At 43.0% G+C, this 23,075-nt stretch overlaps 1 protein-coding gene across 13 annotated transcripts, besides 1 other annotated feature; it reads left to right on the top strand.

Annotated features, from left to right (window-relative positions):
- Positions 96-22,921, top strand: AURKA (aurora kinase A). 13 transcript variants are annotated; one of them, NM_001323305.2, is made up of 11 exons: positions 96-143; positions 1,646-1,755; positions 3,527-3,624; positions 4,109-4,155; positions 5,778-6,054; positions 7,987-8,041; positions 9,135-9,326; positions 10,740-10,878; positions 18,755-18,903; positions 21,652-21,826; positions 21,971-22,921. In NM_001323305.2, the coding sequence occupies exons 4-11, from the start codon at positions 4,114-4,116 to the stop codon at positions 22,151-22,153; spliced, it is 1,212 nt and encodes a 403-aa protein (NP_001310234.1). In that variant the 5' UTR covers positions 96-143; positions 1,646-1,755; positions 3,527-3,624; positions 4,109-4,113; the 3' UTR covers positions 22,154-22,921. The 13 variants fall into 13 exon arrangements, with proteins under 13 accessions (NP_001310234.1, NP_001411347.1, NP_001411348.1 ...); NM_001424418.1 differs by having other exon boundaries at positions 3,527-3,999; NM_001424419.1 differs by having other exon boundaries at positions 96-157; positions 3,527-3,999.
- Positions 5,026-6,225: an enhancer, noted in NCBI's record as "BRD4-independent group 4 enhancer chr20:54961142-54962341 (GRCh37/hg19 assembly coordinates)". NCBI's record gives its function as "activates an origin of replication core promoter dependent on BRD2, P300/CBP, MED14 and CDK7 cofactors, and independent of BRD4, by STARR-seq in HCT116 cells {active_cell/tissue: HCT116}" and the evidence as "EXISTENCE:reporter gene assay evidence [ECO:0000049][PMID:35650434]".

Below are 23,075 nucleotides of genomic sequence, written 5' to 3'. Positions count from 1 at the left end.
TGTTGTCAACCAATCACAAGGCAGCCTCGCTCGAGCGCAGGCCAATCGGCTTTCTAGCTAGAGGGTTTAACTCCTATTTAAAAAGAAGAACCTTTGAATTCTAACGGCTGAGCTCTTGGAAGACTTGGGTCCTTGGGTCGCAGGTGGGAGCCGACGGGTGGGTAGACCGTGGGGGATATCTCAGTGGCGGACGAGGACGGCGGGGACAAGGGGCGGCTGGTCGGAGTGGCGGAGCGTCAAGTCCCCTGTCGGTTCCTCCGTCCCTGAGTGTCCTTGGCGCTGCCTTGTGCCCGCCCAGCGCCTTTGCATCCGCTCCTGGGCACCGAGGCGCCCTGTAGGATACTGCTTGTTACTTATTACAGCTAGAGGTACAAGGGGTTTGTTGAGTGGTGTTGACATGCGCGGGAGGGGTGGGTGGGCTTCAGATTGGATTTTGTCCTCCGAGATCACCTGGGTAAGAAAAGCACAGAAGGTCTCTGCTGTGTTGGAGTTCACGTTCTAGTGGGTGGGGAGACAGACGGTAAGCGTACGGAGAACTTGCAGCTGGGGTGGGTGTTACAGAGGAAAAGCAGGAGTGCGGTTTAACGGGGGCCGCTTTAGATAGAATAGCCTAAGAAGGCCCTTGTCCTGGCTGGATGAGTGGGTGAATTGATGAATGAGAACCTCCTTGCAGAGGCCTTCCCGGTCCGTACTTCTCAGACCGTAGACCTTGGAGCAGTTGTACCGGGATAACTTGCAGTGCTTGTTAAACATATAGCTCCACCGAGAGCCCGGTAAATCAGAATCTCTGAGGGGTAGGACCCAGGTGTCTAGTTATTAACAAACTCTCCAGATGATTCTTAGGTTTCATTGAGAACTAGGGATGCAGACCGGTGCATACAAATCGTCTGGGGACGTTAAAATGCAGAATCTGTTTTTTTAGACCTGGGGTTAGGCCTCAGAGTCTCCATTTCTAAGAACCATCCGGCTGAGGTAGACGTAGCCACTGTCCTTAACTCTCGTAATGTCTCTTCCTCTTCCGTAACCTTCCTTGTCCCTTGAATTAAACGTTTTTCAGCAACCTACTCAGTTCGTCCTTCCCTTCATCTCTGCAGACATGCACAGGTCTGAGGGAGGAAGGAATAAACCGTATAAACCTCCTGCGCTATTAGCCTAACAGCTTTTCTATTCAAAATAGTAGGACTTCTGGTTTGAACTGAATGGATCCTGTGAAAGTCATCTGGTTCTTCAATCTGGTTGCAGATTAGAGTCACCTGAAGGGCAGTCTCCTTGGCGTTGTCTCCAGAATTCTGGATTAGAATCTTATTCCATTCTGCTTGTTATTCAATTTCCCTAGAAAGAAAGGTAGAATAAATTGGAGCAAATGCCTGTAGCTTCTGTCAGAAGAATGTTGAATAAATGTTGTTAGGCCTATGTGATCTCATTAGACTGCTACTTAGAATTGTAAGGGAAGTAAAGCATTAGAGCATGTGTGAAATTAAATATTTGATTAACACAAGTGTGCATTTCCTTGTTGCTGTTTATCAACTTTTACTTACCCACTGTTTTTTTATAAGGGCTGCAGCCTGTAGTCTGGGCCTGGCTTCATCATGGAATTATTTGCTTAATTGTAAAATGGTAATCTTAATTTTTTTTTTTGAGACAGGGTCTCACTCCATTGCCCAGGCCAGAGTGCGGGGATATTTGATAAGAAACTTCAGTGAAGGCCGGGCGCGGTGGCTCATGCCCGTAATCCCAGCATTTTCGGAGGCCGAGGTGGGTGGATCACCTGAGGTCGGGAGTTCCAGACCAGCCCTACCAACATAGAGAAACCCTGTCTCTACTAAAAATACAAAATCAGCTGGGCGTGGTGGTGCATGTCTGTAATCCCAGCTACTCTGGAGGCTGAGGCAGGAGAATTGCTTGAACCCAGGAGGTGGAGGTTGCGGGTGAGCCGAGATTGCGCCATTGCACTCCAGCCTGGGCAACAAGAGCAAACTCTATCTCAAAAAAAAAAAAAAAGAAACCTCAGTGAAATGAAAGACTGAACTACACACCTGGGGGAAAAGCGTAATAAAGGGAGCAAGAAGTGCAAATGCTTATGGCAGGGGACTTATTTGCAGAAAGAAAGCCTTGTGTGGCTGGTACACGGTTGACAAGAAGAGGAGATGAAGTCAGAGAGGTAGTTAGGGTCCATGTTCTGTGAGACTTCAATAGGCCTGTCTATGCAGGTTAGGAGTTTGCATTGTTTTGATTGAGTTGGGAGCCATGGGGGTCTTCTGAACTGAGGATCAACACATCTGATTTGTTAATGAGATTGCCGGCCTCAGTGTTAAGAATGGACCATGACAGGGTAAGGGTGGAAGTGGGGAGGCCATTGGGAGGCTGTTGGAAAAAACTCAAGGGAGAGAGAATAATGGTTTGACCAGGTGGTAGTAGTAGAGGTGGTGAGCAGTGATCTTGAAGGCAGAGCCTACAGAATATGCTGGTGGATTAAATGAAGGGTTTGCGAGAGAGAACCTCGTAAAGGGTTATTATGCCAAGGCTTTTGGCCTGAGCAACTGACAGGATGGGTTTGCCATGCACTGAGATGAGGATGTCTAGAGACTAGATTTGGGGAGGTGAGAGTGGGGAGAGATTAGGACTTCTGTTTGGGACATGTTAGAATGGAGATGCCGCTCAGATAATCAGGTGCAGATGTTGCATAGAAAGTAGAAAATGTAGATCAAGAGTTCAGGGGAGAGGTCTGGGCTGAAGAATGAATATTTGGGAGTCCTCAGCCTGTAGATGGTACTGAAAGCAAAGAGACTGGATGTACTCGGCTAGGGAGTAATTGGAGATGGAGAAGTCATTCTAGGCCTGAGCTCAGGGCACACCCATGAACAGGGAGGTGAGAAGTGGAGAAGGGAAGAGGTTCAGTTTTGGATATGTTAGGATTGAGGTGCCTGGCAGACATTTTTGGGAGATCCTGGGCAAATCCTTGGATATCCAAGTCTGACAGTCCAAGGAGAGACTAGGGCAGAAGACGCACTTTGAGTGGTCCTCATGAAGGCATTTAGAGCTGAGGCACTGGGTGATATGGATCCCTGGTGAAGGTGTAGATGGAGAAGTGGAGGGTCCAGGGACTCGTTCTTGAGTCACCCCAGACCCTTGATCTGGCAAAAATGAGACTGACCCAGCAAGGAGGGAAAGACAGGACGACTAGGTGGTAGATAAACCTGGAAGTGAAGTGAAGAAAAAAGTGTAAGATGTGATCAACCTTGTCAGATTCTGCTGAGGATGCAAGTACGGGGAAGGTGGAATTGACCCTTGGGTTTGGCAGCAGTAGGTGTCAGCCATGAGCCTGACAATGTGGTGGAGACAAAAAAGCCAGGTGGGGATGGGCTCAGGGGAGGGGAGAGGAGCAGTAGAGGTGGCAAGTGTGGACGGTTCTTCTGGAGCTTTGCTGTTGGAGAGGAGGGGGTCATTGTTAGCAACGATAATAGAATAAAGAGGACTTTTATTTTATTTTATTGTTTTGAGACGAAGTCTCGCTCTTTTCCCATAGGCTGGAGTGCAATGGTGTGATCTCAGCTCACTGCAACCTCTGCTTCCTGGGTTTAAGTGATTCTCCTGCCTCAGCCTCCCGAGTAGCTGGGATTACAGGTGACTGCCACCACGCTCAGCTAAGTTTTGTATTTTTAGTAGAGACGGGGTTTCACCATGTTGGCCAGGCTGGTCTCGAACTCTTGACCTCAGGTGATCCGCCCACCTCGGCCTCCCAAAATGCTGGGATTACAGGTGTAAGCCACCATGCCCGGCCTAAAGAGGACTTTTTTAAGGTAGCAGGTATGCCAGTAGGCTGCACAGGGATGGAAGTGATCCATTAGAGGAGAGATGATGGAGCAGCAAGACCATCAGGAGTGAAGACTCCGTGACAGAGGATGGGACGCAGTGCCCAAGGGGAGGTTGGCCTTGCAGGGAAAGCACATGCCTGTCCCTCCCTCATTAGCTTCATTTGGACAAAACATGTAAAATCCGGTGTGTTGTGGAGGCCTTTTGATTGGGGAACTGTAACGCTGCCTATCGAGCAACAGCACTTTAAGCAGGTGGCTTTGTTCAAATTAAAGGTTCTTCTTTTTCTTTTCAGGCATCATGGACCGATCTAAAGAAAACTGCATTTCAGGACCTGTTAAGGTAAATTGAATAATCTGTAATCTCATTCACATTTATAAACCCACATGGAGGTTGGTCTTGTCGGGAATTCTTTCCGCCTTTACTTTGGATTTAAATTTAGATCCCTTACTGTGATCCTGGATATGAATTAGTCACTTTTCTCGTGTTCAGTAACATTTTGCTGCTTCTTAGAGTAGCTTTTTTGTTCTGCTTTGTCTTATAATCGGCTGCTTAAGTTTCTATATCCCTCCACTGTATGCAGGATAATAGTAATAATGCATCTGGCAGGAGTTCAAAACTTTTAAAATTGGCCATAAATATAAAATAATTAGAAAAAGGCTACCTTGAATTACTGTATTTGATTCTAAGTTCCTATGATAACGGCCATTTAAAAAATTGCTCTATATTTAAAATGTTTCTTTTTATTTGTCTTTGTCTGAATGCCTGCTGCGTTGTGGACAGTGTGCTAATTTCAGGAGTAACTGACTTTGTATTTGGAAGTCTTAACACCCTCTCTTTGTAGAGCACTCATACCGTTGAGCTGGGGATGGACTTTGAGGCTTTCATTTCTAGCACTTGTCCCTCACTTACAATGAGCTGTTGAAGCTGAAGGAAATCTCATCCCTCCTACCCCTTTTAGTTTGATTAGCTGAGGGTGTTAGAGTTAACTTAACAATTTAAGGTTGTAATACAGTACTTACAGGCGTATAAATAATACATTTCAAGGCTGGGCGCGGTGGCTCACGCCTGTAATCCCAGCACTTTGGGAGACCAAGGAGAGTGGATCACAAGGTCAGGAGTTCAAGACCGGCCTGGCCAAGATGGTGAAACCCTGTTTCTACTAAAAATACAAAAAATTAGCCAGGCGTGGTGGCAGGCGCCTGTCGTCCCAGCTGCTTGGGAGGCTGAGGCAGAGAATTGCTTGAACCTGGGAGGCAGAGGTTGCAGTGAGCCGAGATCATGCCACTGCACTCCAGTCTGGGTGACAGAGCAAGACTCCATCTCAAAAATAATAATAATAATACATTTTAGTAGTAACTTTGTGAAGTGTCTACATTTGTTTCCTCTTTGTCAGTTTTTTGCTCAATTCCATTTTGTCAATACTTGGAAAATGAAACATTGGTTAATCAATAGTACAGTAATAAGCTTATTGTGGAAAATCTTCGATATATGAAAACTTAGACTCTTCTAAAACTTCATGAAGATAATACCACTGTTGAACGTTTTGACGTATTTTTTTTTGGTCTTTTTCTTAAACGTATATTATCAAAGAAATTTCAATGGAACTGAGATTTTGGCATAAAGTTTTTGTATCATAGCTTTTTGCCAAATAGCAATGTAGTGTCTATTTCCAAATTATTGAGAAATTTTAGAAAGTGTCTCCTTCATTAATGGATATTTGTTAATAAAGCATGATTTTTAGGGGTGAGGAATTGGAGGGGATAGAAGGTATCATTCAGGTATTCTTAGCCACATACTAACTATCCTCTGGAGGTACTGATTAAAATACCTTTTCACCTTCCATCTCTTATCAGTGACATTCATTATTTTGCTATACTAGAGAACAAACTTTGTGAAATTCTCAATATATTCATCTTTTGCTTTCATGAATGCCAGAAAGTTTATTTTCTCTTCCATTCTAGGCTACAGCTCCAGTTGGAGGTCCAAAACGTGTTCTCGTGACTCAGCAATTTCCTTGTCAGAATCCATTACCTGTAAATAGTGGCCAGGCTCAGCGGGTCTTGTGTCCTTCAAATTCTTCCCAGCGCATTCCTTTGCAAGCACAAAAGCTTGTCTCCAGTCACAAGCCGGTTCAGAATCAGAAGCAGAAGCAATTGCAGGCAACCAGTGTACCTCATCCTGTCTCCAGGCCACTGAATAACACCCAAAAGAGCAAGCAGCCCCTGCCATCGGCACCTGGTAAACTAGCTTTTGAGACTCATTGGATAGTCCTTCTTTGTCGTCGTTGCTAAAAAAGCCAGTGTATATACTTGCACTTATTGTTTGGAGCCTTAGCTTTTATATCTGTTGAGGATGGGGAGAAAATATGGTGTCTGGGTTGAAGTAACAGTGTCTGCCCATGGGCCAGACCTATGCTAAAAATACAGACCTGATTCTCACCCTCTTGGAAGAGTTGGGCACCCAGGGAGGACACAGCATAAATTGGTGTCCTTTTGATTGCTTGTTACTGAGTCTGGATGTAGGGTGCTTGCAGTAAGTGACTTGAAGGGACTGAGATCTAAAGTGTGGGGGAAATCCAGAGAAGTGGGTGAACTGAGGCAGGCTGCGGTGAGGTCACCATGGGCATTGCTGGCCATGTTAAGGAATGGGGCCTCATCTCTAGGGCATTTGGAAGCTACTGAAGCTTTTTTGAACTCAGAAGGGAACTCTGCCTTTTAGAAAGTTTACTGTGGAAGGCCAGGCGCAGTGGCTCACGCCTGTAATCCCAGCGCTTTGGGAGACCGAGGCAGGTGGATCACCTGAGGTCAGGAGTTGGAGACCAGTCTGACCAACATGGAGAAACCCTGTCTCTACTAAAAATACAAAATTAGCCAGGCGTGGTGGTGCACGCCTGTAATCCCAGCTACTCAGGAGGCTGAGGCAGGAGAATGGCTTGAACCCAGGAGGTGGAGGTTGTGGTGAGCCGAGATTGTGCCATTGCATTCTAGCCTGGGCAACAAGAGCAAAATTCTATCTCAAAAAAAAAAAAAAAATTTACTGTGGAAGTACTGAATAAATTGGAGTAGAACGCTGGATTTAGGAGTACCAGACAGGAAGGAGGTTGAGGTCAGAGATGGCAATAACCTGCTCTGTGTGGAGCAGAGTGGATGCAATTATTTACCAACTGTTGAGTGCTCATTCCCTGCAGGCTCTGAGATAAGTGCGTGCTTCATCCACGTCATCTCTTTCAATCTTCGTAACCACTTCATGAAGGTAGCCAGTTATTAACTCAGTTTTACAGAGGAGGAAGCTAAGACTCAGAAGCAGTTAACTTATCCAAAGACAAGCCAGGATGGAGAGGTGCACACAAATTTGAGAGCTCATTTACGATGCAGACTCATTAGAACTGGGCAATAAATTGTACCTGAAAGATGAATAAAGAGGAGTTAGGGATGGTGATTAGATTGATATTAATTGAGTGAGTGTCCTGGGGGTTGAGGGGTGCACATGTGACAGGGGCATCTGGAGGAAGAGTTTGGACCAGCATCCAGATATCTGAGCAGAGCATTGTGTGCTGTTCGAGTTTGCTATGTTGGAGACAGACCAGTGGAAATGTTTCATATGTCCTTGTGGCTGATGAAATAGTTACCCCAGTCCTCTGCTGCACAACTGTTCATTGTGCATTTTGCTGAATTGGTGGCTTTTATTTTTATATTTCCCCTTGGCAGCTAATATAAATGGAGGGTGGCTGGCTTATGTTTTGCTACATGTTGGTGATAATTCGTATGTAGGGTATGGACTGTTGGCTGGCCCACCTAGTAAGGGGAAAAAGGTGACGAGTTGGCAGCTCGTCATGCATGGGAAGATTGGTACTTCTGCCACAAAAGCTCTTCTTTGGAAACTGAGGCTTCAGAAGAGCCTGCATAGTCTGCCTTTAATTTATCAGAGAAGGGCCTGTCTATATATACGTCTGCTCATCTTTAGAAATTCTATAAAGGCTTCACATGATGGAAGTCAGGGTGTAGTAGTCCTTTTTTTCTATAAGGAAAACTTTAAAAAAAAAAAACAGATTTATCATTCTTGACATACCATTAATATTTTGGTGACCAATTCTTTGATTCACCTCTATTCACAGCTTAGCTTATCCTATATAGTTATTCTAAAAACAGGTTTTTAACTTATTCCATATAGAAAATAATCCTGAGGAGGAACTGGCATCAAAACAGAAAAATGAAGAATCAAAAAAGTAAGCTTTCTTATTTACAAAGTTCTGTACTGTTCTACTAGAATATATTATTTCGTTGCAAATTTCGTTGTGGGAACTCTGGGGAAAAAAATGAGGCCTTTATTTGCATTTAGAGGATATAAATGTTTCCAGATTTCCAATCTTAAAAAAAATGGAATTTTGTGTAATGAGGTATTTTACTAGGAACTCAAGTGCTTTAAAAAATGGCTTTCAAATTTAGAAAAAGCTTGTATGAATCTTTTATAGAAATGTGTGGAAGTTCCTCTCTGTCCTTAGAAATAACCACTACATATGGTTTATGCGTCTGTACTTTTTTATTGTACAAAAGTGCAAGTTTTTAAAAAATAGAATATGTTGCAGAACTATATACTCATATATGACTGAGGGTTTTGACAGTATTATAGTTTTAGTTCTTTATTGTAAAGGTTGGCTGTAATGTCTTCCCCAGGGCTTTTCTAAAAGCCTCCTCTCAGTCTCTGAACTATCTGGACTCTAGAATGTACCGGGAGGAGCGAGGAATGAACCCACAGACTCTTTTGCTTTTAGCGGTCTAACAGAGGCTAAGAGTCTAAATCCACTGGTTCTCATGCCCCAGCTAGCCTGTGGGCTCCATCCCGCTTCCATTAGTAACAGTGGCTCTGTCTCCACCACCAGAGTGGTTCTCCACCCAGAGAGAATTAGCACCTCTGGGACTGGAGGGAGCAGCTGGGGTTAGTTTGAAACATGCCCCCAGATGGTCTGGAAGCATTCCTCCCTCTCTGGTCACTTATCCTTTTTGTGGTCTTCAGCGTTGTCATGGCCCTGTTCCTCTGAGCATAGTACGGGCTTGGGACATTTCCCATAGAGTGCTTCAGGTCTAAAACCCGAGACTGCTCCTTGTCACTGACTCTCACACCTGACGGCAGCTAGGGACGTCAGGGTTTCATGTCGTGGCAGCTCTTTGATAGTGGTTATTGCCTTGGTTCTTGCTGAGGATGCATATTGAGTGAAGTTGGAATACGAAATTATTTGTAGAATGTGTCTGCTACTCATTGAAAATTTGTTAGAAAAGCTTTGTTTTCTTCACATTCTAAAGTGTTCAAATTCCTCCTAGGAGGCAGTGGGCTTTGGAAGACTTTGAAATTGGTCGCCCTCTGGGTAAAGGAAAGTTTGGTAATGTTTATTTGGCAAGAGAAAAGCAAAGCAAGTTTATTCTGGCTCTTAAAGTGTTATTTAAAGCTCAGCTGGAGAAAGCCGGAGTGGAGCATCAGCTCAGAAGAGAAGTAGAAATACAGTCCCACCTTCGGTGAGTTTTCAGGTTCATGTTCAAAAGAATGTTCACCAATGCTGCACCCCTCCCCCTCCTGTAATGTCAGCCTCCCACTGCCCAGGTCCCTTCACTCCCTCTTACGAGGCACTGCCTTCAAATGCATGGCCCCGTTCCTCACCTCCCCCTCCCCTATGAAAAAGATTAGATAAGCTTCTGTACTGCACTGGGTTATAAGCATTCTCCTGTGATTCTCCCATGCTCTGCATGTTAAAATAAAATTGTATTCCTTTTTTTTTTTTTAAGTATAAATTTATTTTTTAGAGGGCCTGCTTTTCATAGTACCACAAAAAATGATTAAATTTGTCATCTTTCAAAGAGCACTTAAGTGCTCTGATCCTGGAAAAATCACTTGAGGATTTAATGTTTTGTTAATAGAATAGTTTATATGGGCAAGTCTTTCTGGTGGACAGTGAAGGGGAATGGCACCCCTTATTCTGAGGTATGCAGGAATTGCGAGCAGCTACCTGCAGGTTGACTACGGCTGGTGGGTTTTTGTTTTTCCTTTTTTTCTTTCAGTGTTTTTCAAATTTGAATCAGATGCTAATACTTCAAGTCTGGCCACATCAGGCCTGGTGTGTCTCTGCCTGGCAACACCTGGCTGGGGCTGGGAGGGGCAGGCATCTCACATGGGCTGTGCTTCCCATTGCCTGCTTCCCGCTGGCCACAGTCTGCACCTGCCCAGTCTGCTCAGCACCCATCTACTGCCATTACTGATCACTGCTTTTATCTGTCACAGTGTCTGGGTGTCAAACTACTGTGGCAATGCCATGTCCTTTTTTTTTTTCCTTTTTTTTTTTGAGATGGAGTCTCGCTCTGTTGCCCAGACTGGAGTGCAGTGGCGCAATCTCAGCTCACTGCAACCTCTGCCTCCCAGGTTAAAGCGATTCTCCTGCCTCAGCCTCCTGAGTAGCTAGGATTGCAGGCATGCACCAACAAGCCTAGCTAATTTTTGTATTTTTAGTAGAGACGAGGTTTCACCATGTTGGCCAGGCTGGTCTTGAACTCCTGACCTCGCGATCCTCCCGCCTCGGCCTCCCAAAGTGCTGGGATTACAGGCGTGAGCCACTGTGCCCGGCCATGTCCTTTTTTTAATATGTAGATAATTAATATTCAGCTGAATTTTCCTCCTAAGAATAAAGGTGCCTAAAGGAAGGAAATAGTCTTAACTAAACCAGAGGTCCATTAATACTGTGAAGTGCTTTTAAAATGATATGTGGGTGTATGTATTTTTCTTGGAGTGGGTTTATAGTTTCAGATTCTAAAGTGGGGTTTGGAGTGTGGTTTCATGTGAAACACCACTGGTTTTACATGAAGAGTTTGTTTGACATTTTGTACATAGTCTTCTGTGAGCTCCAAACCAAGTGTTAGAATGTTTATCCTTTGTTGCAGGCATCCTAATATTCTTAGACTGTATGGTTATTTCCATGATGCTACCAGAGTCTACCTAATTCTGGAATATGCACCACTTGGAACAGTTTATAGAGAACTTCAGAAACTTTCAAAGTTTGATGAGCAGAGAACTGCTACTGTAAGTGTTCATTTATTGTCCAGGCTAATTGTGTTTCCTTTATACCTGTCCTCCATAGCAATGTACCTTTCATCATAGTAGAGTGGGTTTTGTCTTGACGTAAGGATAGCTTAATATCAAATATTTGAAGTGGAAAAATCAAAATAGCTTAGTTGTACCATATGTACAGATAAAGTCTAGAACCAGGTAGAATGTTGTATCTGCTTTTGTGCCTAGTTTGCACAGCTGTTTTCTATGGAAATGTATATAATGTATATAGATAGTCACCCTCATTTTCTTTAATAGATGTTTTATTTTAGAATAATTTTTATTTTATTTTATTTTTTTTAAAGGGACAGGGTCTTGTTATGTTGCCCAGGCTGGACTCAAGTGATTCTCCACCTCAGCCTCCCGAGTAGCTGGGACTACAGGTGCACACCATTGTACCTGGCTAGGATAGTTTTAGATTTACAGAAATTGTGAAGGCAGTACAGAGAGTTCCCATATACCCCACACTGAATTTCCTACTAATTCTCCTACTAACATCTTGCATTAATATGGCACATTTGTCACATTCAATGAACCAATATTGATATATAACTATTAACTCAAGTCCACATTTTATTCAGATTTTCTTAGTTTTTCTCATGATTAAATTGGGCTTATGGGTTTTTGAGAGGGAGATCAGAGGTAAAGTGCATTCTTATCACATACCAGGGATGTAAACTCTTATGACTTTTAACTGTGGATGTCAGCTTGATCTTCTGACTCAGAGAGTGTTTGTCTGGTTTCTCCACTGTAAAGTTACTATTTTTTCCCCTTTCCGTGCTGTATTTCTTCAAAGGAAGTTACTATGAATAGCCCACACTTAAGGAGTAGAGAGTGGATGGAGTATTGCCATAAATTATCTGGAATTCTGTGCCAGAGATAAGGCTGTTCTCCCTTATTTATTTAATCATTTATTTATTTAAAGATGTAGACTCCTGGGTATTTATTTTATCTCTTGAGCTATAATGCAATACTTTATTTTGTGGTTCAGATCATTGCAACTTTGGCCACTGGGAACTTTTTTTCTTTCTTTTTTTTTTTTTTTCTTTTTGAGACGGAGTCTCACTCTGTCGCCCAGGCTGGAGTGCAGTGGCGCTATCTTGGCTCACTGCAACCTCAGCCTCCCAGGTTGAAGCGATTCTTCTGCCTCAGCCTCCCAAGTAGCTGGAAGTACAGGCACCCACCACCACACCTGGCTAATTTTTGTATTTTTAGTAGAGACGGGGTTTCACCATATTGGCCAGGCTGGTCTTGAACTCCTGACCTTGTGATCCACCCACCTCAGCCTCCCAAAGTGCTGGGATTACAGGCATGAGCCACCGTGCCCGGCCTGCTCTTTTTGTTTTACCAGGTTCCTGGGAAAATCATTGCAGTTTTGTCTTGCGTGTGTGTGGTTTTTTTTTGGTTTGTTTTTACACTTCCTTTTTTTTTTTTTCTTTTTTTGAGATGGAATCTCACTCTGTCGCCCAGGCTGGAGTGCAGTGGCATAATCTTGGCTCACTGCAGCCTTCACCTCCTGGGTTCAAGCGATTCTCCTGCCTCAGCCTCCTGAGTAGCTAGGATTAACAGGCATGCACCACCACACCCGGCTCATTTTTGTATTTTTAGTAGAGATGGGGTTTTGCCATGTTGGCCAGGCTGGTCTCTAACCCCTGACCTCAGGTAATCTGCCCGCCTCAGCCTCCCAAAGTGCTAGGATTACAGGTGTGAGCCACCACGCCTGGCCTTGTACTTCCTTACTTTCTGATACAAGATGCTCAGGCCTCATCGTGTATATTTCCTGCTCCAGTCCTAGAATCGAACCACTTCTCCAAGGAGCCCTGTTTCCTTTTCTTGGAGAATGTTATTAGAAACCAAGCTCTGGGCACTTGGTGTACTCATTGCTACTATGGTGTCACTACTTTTAGGCTTTCAGCTGACACAGCAAGGGAATATATGTGGATAGTAATCTGTGTATAGATTTATCCATCTATCTCTTCATTAAGCATACCATGAATTCATACTGATGTCTTCAACTTGAATCCATTACCACGTTTCATTCTAACTTCCTCCTGTTTACCTGTAAACTCCCACTCCAAAAGTGTGAAACCTGGATTTCACCGCCCACCATCCTTTTACTTATTCAATTCCAATATACATGTATAATGGTATCAGAATTGTTAACCAGCTGCCACGTGGGAACCAACTTTATCAATTAGAGTGCTTATGTGCACTTCCTTTGGCCTTTGTCTTATAGATTCCACTCATTTCCAAAGCTGCTTGGATCAACACTTTACCCTCATGCCCTTTAGTAAGGTGGTTTCCTACATTTGTAATGCAATGAGATTTTTTTGTCACAATCTGCATGCCCAGGATGGAATCATTTACATTTTCATATCCTGAGATTGATTTTTGTGTGTTTGCTGTAAAGTTCTATGAATTTCGACAAATACACAATGCCATGTATCCACCATTATGATATAGAGAATAGTTTCGCTGCTCTTAAGAAAAAAAAAATCCTGTGTCTCAACTACTCATCCCTTCCAACCCTTCCATCTCTGGCAACCACTGATCTGTTTACTGTCTCTATTGCCTTTTCCAGAATATCATGTAATTGGAATCATAACAGTATGTAGCTTTTTTAGGTGGGCTTCTTCCACTTAGCAATATGCATTGAAGATTCATCTGTGTATTTTTGGAGGCATGAGAGCTTGTTCATTTCTGTTTATCACAAAATCATATTCCATTATTTCATTATATGGAAGTACCTCAGTTTATTCGTCTACTGAAGGGTATCTTGGCTGCTTCTGGTTTTTGGCAGTTATCATGTTTTGGCTGTCAACATTTGCATGCAGGTTTTTGCGAAACAAGTCTTCAAATTAGTTGGGCACATATATAGGAGTGCTATTGCCAGCTCATACGGTAAGACTATATTTTGCTTTGTGAGGAACTGTCAGTCTTCCAAAGTGATTTTTACATTATATTTTACATTGCATTACAAATGTAGGAAATCACCTTACTAAAGGGCATGAGGGTAAAGTGTTGATCCAAGCAGCTTTGGAGATGAGTGGAGTCTATAAGACAAAGGCCAAAGGAAGTGCACATAAGCACTCTAATTGATAAAGTTGGTTTCCGTGGGGCAGCTGGTTAACAATTCTGATACCATTATACAACGGTAATGTGGTATCGGAACCAATGAATTGAGGTCCTCTTGCTTCTCATAGTTGCCAACATTTGATGTCAGTGTTTTGGATTTTTGTTTGTTTGTTTTGAGACAAGGTCTCACTGTCGCCCAGACTGGAGTGCAATGGCATGATCACCCACCTCAAACTCCCTGGCTCAAGCAATCCTCCCATCTCAGCCTCCCAAGTAGCTAGGACTACAGGCATGTGCTCTCGTGCCTGGCTAATTTTTGTATTTTTTTGTAGAGACAAGGTTTTGCCTTGTTGCCCAGGTCGGTTTCGAAATCCTGGTCTCAAGTAATTCATGCCTCCCAAAATATTGGGATTACAGGAGTGAGCCACTATACCTGGCCTCTTGTTTTGCATTTTAGTTATTCTAATCGGCATGTGGTGGTATCTCATTGTTTTGATTTCTAGTTTCCTAATGACATTTGATGTTGAACGTCTCTTTTTTTTTTTGAGACGGAGTCTCGCTCTGTCACCAGGCTAGAGTGTAGTGGTGCGATTTTGGCTCACTGCAACCTCCGCCTCTTGGGTTCAAGCGATTCTCCTGCCTCAGACTCCTGAGTAGCTGGGACTACAGGCACGTGCCACCATGCCCAGCTAATTTTTGTACTTTTAGTAGAGATGGGGTTTCGCCATGTTGGCCAGGATGGTCTTGATCTCTTGACCTTGTGATCCACCTGCCTCGGCCTCCCAAAGTGCTGGGATTATAGGCGTGAGCCACTGCGCCCGGCCTTGAACATCTTTTTATGTGTTTATTTGCCATCTGTGTATCGTCTTTGAGGCACCTGTTGAAATCTTTTGCTCTTTTTTTTTTTGAGTTTTGAGTTTTAAGAGTTCTTTGTATATTTTGGATGCAGGTCATCTGTCACACATGTTTTGCAAATATTTTCTCCCAATCCGTGCCTTGTATTTTTGTTCTCTTATCTGTGTCTTTCACAAGGCTGTTTTTTATTTATTTTTTTGAGAAAGGGTTTCACTCTGTCAGCCAGGCTGGGGTGCAGTGGTGCGATCTCTGCTCACTGCAGCCTCTGCCTGTTGAGCTCAAGTGATCCTCCTGAGTAGGTGAGACTACAGGTGGGTACCACCACGCCCAGCTAATTTTTGTATTTTTTGTATAGACACGGTCTCATCATGTTGCCCAGGTTGTTTTTTTTGAGGCATTCTTGCTTTGTCACCCAGGCTGGAGGGCAGTGACGTGATCTTGGTTCTCAGCTCACTGCAACTTCTACCTCCTGTGTTCAAGCAGTTCTCCTGCCTCAGCCTCCTGAGTAGCTGGGATTACAGGCATGAGCCACCACGCCCAGCTAATTTTTGTATTTTTAGTAGAGACAGGGTTTCATCATGTTGGCCAGTCTGGTCTTGAACTCCTGACCTCAGGTGATTTGCCCACCTCGGCCTCCCAGAGTGTTGGGATTGCAGGCATGAGCCACTGTACCCGGCCTCCCAGGCTGTATTTTTAATAAAAGTCCAAATGTGTCAGTTTTTTCTTTCATGATTGTGCTTTTTTGCTTCTCCTTTTTTATGTGATTAAAATTACTTGTTTTAAGAAGTTGAAGAGTCTTAGTTTGGGCCGTTTCTTATTGGATTGGCAGCTTGATAAAGCATGTTGAATGGTGGTTACTTTGATTTTTTTCTGTTTCTTGGTGGAGATCTCCGGGTAGTGTGGACATTAGTTCTCTTTTTGGCATTGATGTAAATGGCATTTAAATTCAAGTAATTTTACTTTCAGTATCTGATGAAATCATGCTACTATGGACAAATGGCTCTTTGGTCTTGTCTCTGCAACAATGACATGCTGTTTTAAAGACTTAATCTTAAATGTTTGTGCTTCTCCTAAGTAGAAATAGATCTCTAATTTGCTTTTTTAAATATTAGCTAAACAAATCAGCTTCTTATTTAATTGGCAATTAATATTTCTTTGAGTTCATCTTTTGGGCCAACTTTCTCTTACAGATCAATAAGTAAATCTATGCTCATTAATGGTAGTGACTCTACCTCAGGTACTCACATTTTACCCTTGGTTTTTTTCCTGGTAATCTTGCTTATGGTGGGTTGTAGTTTGTTGTTTCAGGTCAGTTAATCTTTTTCTTCAGTTTCTGATATTGATATCCTACTTTAAAAGATTCACCTTATACCAACACTACAAAATTACACATTATACTACTTCTCTGTTTTCTCTCCTTACACCCAAGGCTTCAATCTAGATGGAGTTTTGGTGTAAGCAGATAGCTGTTTGAAAGAAAATGAAAGATCATTTCTGTCTAGATTCCTTAGCAGTTAGAATGAATACACATGTACCTGTTTTCCTTTTCAGATGAATTCAAATAAAACTAATTGTAGTGACATGTCAGTGACCTATCCATATCTGCAATCTAACAACATGTGAGGTGTGGAGGAAGTGGCAGTGCCAGAGGGCTATCATGAAACTAATAGCTTCTTGTCTGGAAGTGATTTGAGGAGTGAAATCCATTGCCCTCTCAAACTTTAATGTGTGCAATTAAAGCATCAGCAACTCAAAGTTGGTGGTCAGAAGAGCAGCTTTCTTTGTATTTGCCTTCAGTTTATTGTGGTCTGAATTTTGATCTCCGGTTTTGGGCTGAAAGAATGAAAAGTGTTTATTCTGACAGTGACATTTGGTTTTTACTCATCTGTTTAGTAAACCTTTTTGATGTAAAATAATGTTCAATCCTGTCTAGAAATTGCTGTAGAAAGCAAACTCTTCTCAAACTTTAGGCAGAGCTAAATATATTTTTTCAATATTCAAACAGTTATCTGTATGTTAAAATAAATTCTGGGCCAGGCATGGTAGCTCACGCTTGTAATCTCAGCACTTGGAGAGGCCAAGGTGGGAGGATCACTTGAGGTCAGGAATTAGCGACCAGCGTAGGCAACATGGGGAGACTGTCTCTACAAAAAAAAAAAAAAAAAAAAGAAAGATTAAAAATTAGCTGGGCATGGTGGCACACACCTGTAGTCCCAGCTACTCGGAAGGAGGCTGAGGTGGGAGGATTGCTTACGGCCAGGAGTTCAAGGCTGCAGTGAGGTATGATCATGCCATAGCAATCCAGGCTGGGTGACAGAGTGAGACCCTGTCTCTTAAAAATAAATAAGTAAATACATACATACTGGACTTGTTTGCTAAATCTTAGCGATAGGGACTGTAAAACTTTTCTTTTTCTTGCTTTTTTTTGAGACGGAATTTTACTCTTGTTGCCCAGGCTGGAGTGCAATGGCATGATCTCGGCTCACTGCAACCTCTACCTCCTGGGTTCAACCAATTCTCCTGCCTCAGCCTCCCGAGTAGCTGCGATTATAGGCATGCACCACTACACTTGGCTAATTTTTGTATTTTTAGTAAAGACAGGGTTTCACCATGTTGGTCAGGCCGGTCTCGAACTCCTGACTTCAGGTGATCCACCTGTCTTGGCCTCCCAAAGTGCTGGGATTACAGGTATGAACCACTGCACCTGGCCAGGAAAACTTTTCTTACAAGATGGTAATTCGGTCGGGTGCAGTGGCTCATGTCTGTAATCCTAGCACGTTGTGAGGCTGAGATGGGAGGATCACTTGAGGCCAGGAGTTTGAGACCAGCCTGGTCAACATAGTGAGACCCCCATCTCTATTAAAAAAAAAAAAGATAGTAACTTAAGGAAATAAAATTAACAAAAGGACTGATTTCTTATGTACTTCTATGCTGACTTAGTGTAACCCAAAATTTAACATGCTATTTAATATGTCAGTGCAACTGCTTTTTAGTTTCTGTTTATTGTTCAGGATAATTTTTTCTCCTGATATTCTTGAAGTAAATTTTTAGCTTTAAACAAATTCTTCTGTCACAGAATGACCTTGGTTTTAAAAAAGGGAATTGACTATACTTGCAAAGTTCATTTTTTTTTTCTAAAAAAGAAAAAGGCAGTATTTACACATCTGAATCCTTAATTTGTACCAGTTCTTCAGCACTGTCTTACTTCCTGGCTGCAGGGCCATTTGTTGCCGTATGGTGTTGTAACTTTAGGTTGGTGCAAAAGTAACTGTGTTTTGCATTGACATGGCACCAGCCTAAGAGCTAGCTCTAACTGGCTGAATGTCTTTTCTGACTTTCAACATCACACCAGCTGTATTAGCAGAGATGACTAAGCATTGGGTAATTTCACTTCATGCTAACCACTATAAATTGGTTCAGTTGATGTGTGTGTGTGTGTGTGTGTGTGTGTGTGTGTGTAGACTCCTATATAATTTCTACAATCCTTGCTTTAAAACCTGCAAAATGTATTTTTTGTTTTGTCTTTTCCTTTTTGAGACAGGGTCTCCTTCTGTCACCCAGGCTGAAGTGTGATCATGGCTCACTGCAGCTTTGACCTCCTGGTCTCAAGCAATCCTCCTGCCTCAGCCTCCCAAGTAGCTGGGACTACAGGCATGCACCATCACGCTCAGCTAATTTTTAAATTTTTGTAGAGATGGAGTCTTGCTATGTTTCCCAGGCTGGTCTTGAACCCCTGGGCTCAAGTGATCCTCCCACCTCAGTCCCCCAAAGTGTTGGGATTATAGGTGTGAGCCACTGTGCCTGGCCAAAACCTGCAAACCATGTTAAATCTATGTTGTGTTCCTTTCGGAAGAGATGTCTAATATTAACTTGTGTTATATAAAATCTAAAACATAGGCTTTCAATATTGTTTTAACAGTATATAACAGAATTGGCAAATGCCCTGTCTTACTGTCATTCGAAGAGAGTTATTCATAGAGACATTAAGCCAGAGAACTTACTTCTTGGATCAGCTGGAGAGCTTAAAATTGCAGATTTTGGGTGGTCAGTACATGCTCCATCTTCCAGGTATGTAACTTTAGAGGTGGAAGTTGTTTGGTTTACCAAAGCCCTGGGAGCTAACCGTGAGCTAAATGTAAAATATTTCAGTGTAGATTTTGTGCTGTAAGAGGGGTAGGTGGCTAACCCAGAAGTACTTTGGAGTAATTTAGGCTTAATAATAAACTAGGGTTTGCAAGAAAGTGTTATTCTGTGGAGATTTGGGGCTATTAGCAGTGTTCTAGGCCTAGGGTTGAAGATGCTTAATGTCCTTAGAGGCTAATGAAGGGATGAATGAGTCAACAGATAGGACACGTATATGACAGAGGTGAAGTGCCCACATGTTGAGTGGGAGGAACTCTTCACCTCTGCTGCTTCCTGGATGAGGAGATGGGGAGATGGTTCAGAGGACAGCACTGACAAAGATCTAGAGCTCAGAGTGCAGGCCATATCAGGGAACTTGAAACACTAAATTAGTTTGGTGGTGCTTTGAGGGCAGTGGTGAGAGATTCTCTTCAGTCTGCCTCTGTCAATAGTAGGGATAGTCCTTTCTTATCCCCTGTCACAGCTGAAGCAGAGATGTCAGTCTCAAAACAATTCAAATCTTAGCTTTCCAAGTGAACTACAATATCTTTACTGTTTTAAATTTGAGTTTAAATAAGCTTTGAAACTTCACATGAAGTGGGGCATTTTAAAACATATATCTACCGATGAAGTTTTGTCAACTTTGGAGGAGGACTCAAATTATAGCCAAATGACTTAAAAATCAAGCTAGTTAAAAAAAAAGTATAGCCTAAAATAGAATATGAGGGAGAAAACCTTTGCTTTTGTTACAGAGCACTTCTAATTGTTCCAGCAATGCACTGAATCTGCTATTGCAGTCTTTTTTTTTTTTTTTTTTTTTAAACTGGTTGTCATTAGTGGGAGCTGTTATCTGGTGAGACAAACCAGAATAAAGACTTACAGGCTTCATGGAATCGCAGAGTTAAACTGTATCTTAACCGGTTGAATTGTGATAGAAAAGATGGCTTCTTGCTTTTTGAAAAGATTACTTACATAACCGATAGTCACTTCACTCCAAATCCCAGATGTTAATCATCATCATTTCCTGGTTATTGCCTCAGTTTGAGAACCCCCGATTCAGTCCGTCGGTGCTGATGGAGGGGTTAGATGACCAGAGTGGTAGCTTCTTAATCCTACGTCACAATTCAGTGGTGAGTGACTGTTTGTGTGCTCAGTGGGTGCCAGGCCTGGCTGAACACAGCACCAGGGCTGTGACCACGTAAGCCTCCATGGTGAAGAGCAGCTGATAACAAAGCAACACGAACCCACACAGACTGTTCTGGCTTGCTGTCTGCTGTTCCCAGCTTTTTTCCAACCTTCGTTAAAAAAACCTAAACCGATAAAAATGCGGAATTGGTAGTTGATGGCATACCTGTCTATACAGTGCCTACGTTCAGCAGTTTTTCCCATTTAGTCAGAAGGGCTGCATCTGCTTTTTTAGTGAACACTTGAAAATACGTTGCAAACATCATGATGCTTCAACCTTAAGCACTATAATAGAATGCATTTCCTAAATAAGGATATTCTCCTATATAACTAGAACCATGATCACTCCTAAGAAAATTAACAGCATTGTCAGTATCTAATATTTAGTCCACATTCAGATTTCTCCTATTGTCCATGACATCTTATAGCTGGTTTGTAAAATCAGAACTCAACCAAAGCCCATGCTTTGTATTGGACTGTCTATGTGGTTGGATTGTCTCTGTGGTTGGACTGTCTCTGTGGTTGGACTGTCTCTGTGGTTGGATTGTCTCTGTGGTCTAAAGCCAGACCAGTCTCCCACTTTAAAGAGGACTTTTCTGATTGTGTTGCCACTTAACTTGGACCTTTATTCCCCGTATTTGCTGAAAACTGGAATGTAGGTCTCAGGTCCTGAAGAGATTCAGGTTAAGAAAATTTTTTTTTTTTTTTGAGACAGAGTCTCGCTCTGTCACCCAGGCTGGAGTGCAGTGGTGCGATCTTGGCTCACTACAAGCTCGCCTCCCGGGTTCACGCCATTCTTCTGCCTCAGCCTCCTGAGTAGCTAGGACTACAGGCGCACACCACCACACCCGGCTAATTTTTTGTATTTTTAGTAGATACGGCGTTTCACCATGTTAGCCAGGATGGTCTCGATCTCCTGACCTCGTGATCCGCCTCCCTCGGCCTCCCAAAGTGCTGGCATTACAGGCATGAGCCACTGCACCCAGCCAGGTTAAATATTTTTGGCAAGAGTACTTCATAGGCCACCCTCAAAATTTCAGCATCACTCGTACCAAGTATCTATCACAAGGCAGCATGTGTCTACATCTCCACCCCAGTGCTGTTACAGTGGGACAGTTTCTAGTGTATTGTCATTGCGACCAGGCTTTTAAGATTCTTAGCATATCTGTAATATCCACATGCAGATGTAGAATCCAAATCGTATTTACAGAGAACTTTGCATGGCAGCTTTTATATGGTAGTGATACATTCAGTTTCTTACATTCTAGATTATTCAGGGAGGTTCTGGAGTTGGACAGATTTGGGGTTAAGCCTGATGGCTAGCTGTGTGACCTTACACACCTCGCTTCATCTGTTTCCTATGGGAATTTATAATAGTAGCTACTTCCTAGGGCACAGGATCTGGCCCAGGGGAAGACCTCAGTGTTAGTGGACTCTTTAATGATTGTTAGCAGCTGTTGTGATCATAAAACGAGAAGCACATCAACCTGAGCCTCCCTCCGTTTTCAGGAGGACCACTCTCTGTGGCACCCTGGACTACCTGCCCCCTGAAATGATTGAAGGTCGGATGCATGATGAGAAGGTGGATCTCTGGAGCCTTGGAGTTCTTTGCTATGAATTTTTAGTTGGGAAGCCTCCTTTTGAGGCAAACACATACCAAGAGACCTACAAAAGAATATCACGGGTAAGACGCAACTGAAAAGGACCCAGCACATCTGCTGGAATTCTTTCCTTATCAGCCTGAACTGCAGGCCAAGATCCGAACATCTATACTATTTGATCTCTCTAACCTGTGTTTTGTGATATTTTATCATTTGTTGTACTCCAGGTTGAATTCACATTCCCTGACTTTGTAACAGAGGGAGCCAGGGACCTCATTTCAAGACTGTTGAAGCATAATCCCAGCCAGAGGCCAATGCTCAGAGAAGTACTTGAACACCCCTGGATCACAGCAAATTCATCAAAACCATCAAATTGCCAAAACAAAGAATCAGCTAGCAAACAGTCTTAGGAATCGTGCAGGGGGAGAAATCCTTGAGCCAGGGCTGCCATATAACCTGACAGGAACATGCTACTGAAGTTTATTTTACCATTGACTGCTGCCCTCAATCTAGAACGCTACACAAGAAATATTTGTTTTACTCAGCAGGTGTGCCTTAACCTCCCTATTCAGAAAGCTCCACATCAATAAACATGACACTCTGAAGTGAAAGTAGCCACGAGAATTGTGCTACTTATACTGGTTCATAATCTGGAGGCAAGGTTCGACTGCAGCCGCCCCGTCAGCCTGTGCTAGGCATGGTGTCTTCACAGGAGGCAAATCCAGAGCCTGGCTGTGGGGAAAGTGACCACTCTGCCCTGACCCCGATCAGTTAAGGAGCTGTGCAATAACCTTCCTAGTACCTGAGTGAGTGTGTAACTTATTGGGTTGGCGAAGCCTGGTAAAGCTGTTGGAATGAGTATGTGATTCTTTTTAAGTATGAAAATAAAGATATATGTACAGACTTGTATTTTTTCTCTGGTGGCATTCCTTTAGGAATGCTGTGTGTCTGTCCGGCACCCCGGTAGGCCTGATTGGGTTTCTAGTCCTCCTTAACCACTTATCTCCCATATGAGAGTGTGAAAAATAGGAACACGTGCTCTACCTCCATTTAGGGATTTGCTTGGGATACAGAAGAGGCCATGTGTCTCAGAGCTGTTAAGGGCTTATTTTTTTAAAACATTGGAGTCATAGCATGTGTGTAAACTTTAAATATGCAAATAAATAAGTATCTATGTCTGTGTGGAGTGCTGTGTAATTCTTTCCACCATCTGTTCATTGTTGGCCTGGAAATGAGCAGGGGCTGAGAGGAGCAGGTCTCGCCCTCATCTAGTCCTGCCTCTTCTGGTCTCTCCTGTTGGGTGTACTCCTAATACTTCATTATATATATTGT

Source organism: Homo sapiens, chromosome 20 (genome assembly GCF_000001405.40).
Source record: "Homo sapiens chromosome 20, GRCh38.p14 Primary Assembly".
NCBI lineage: Eukaryota > Metazoa > Chordata > Mammalia > Primates > Hominidae > Homo > Homo sapiens.
Note: the sequence above shows the minus strand (reverse complement) of the source record. Positions and strands in the feature narration are given on the sequence as shown.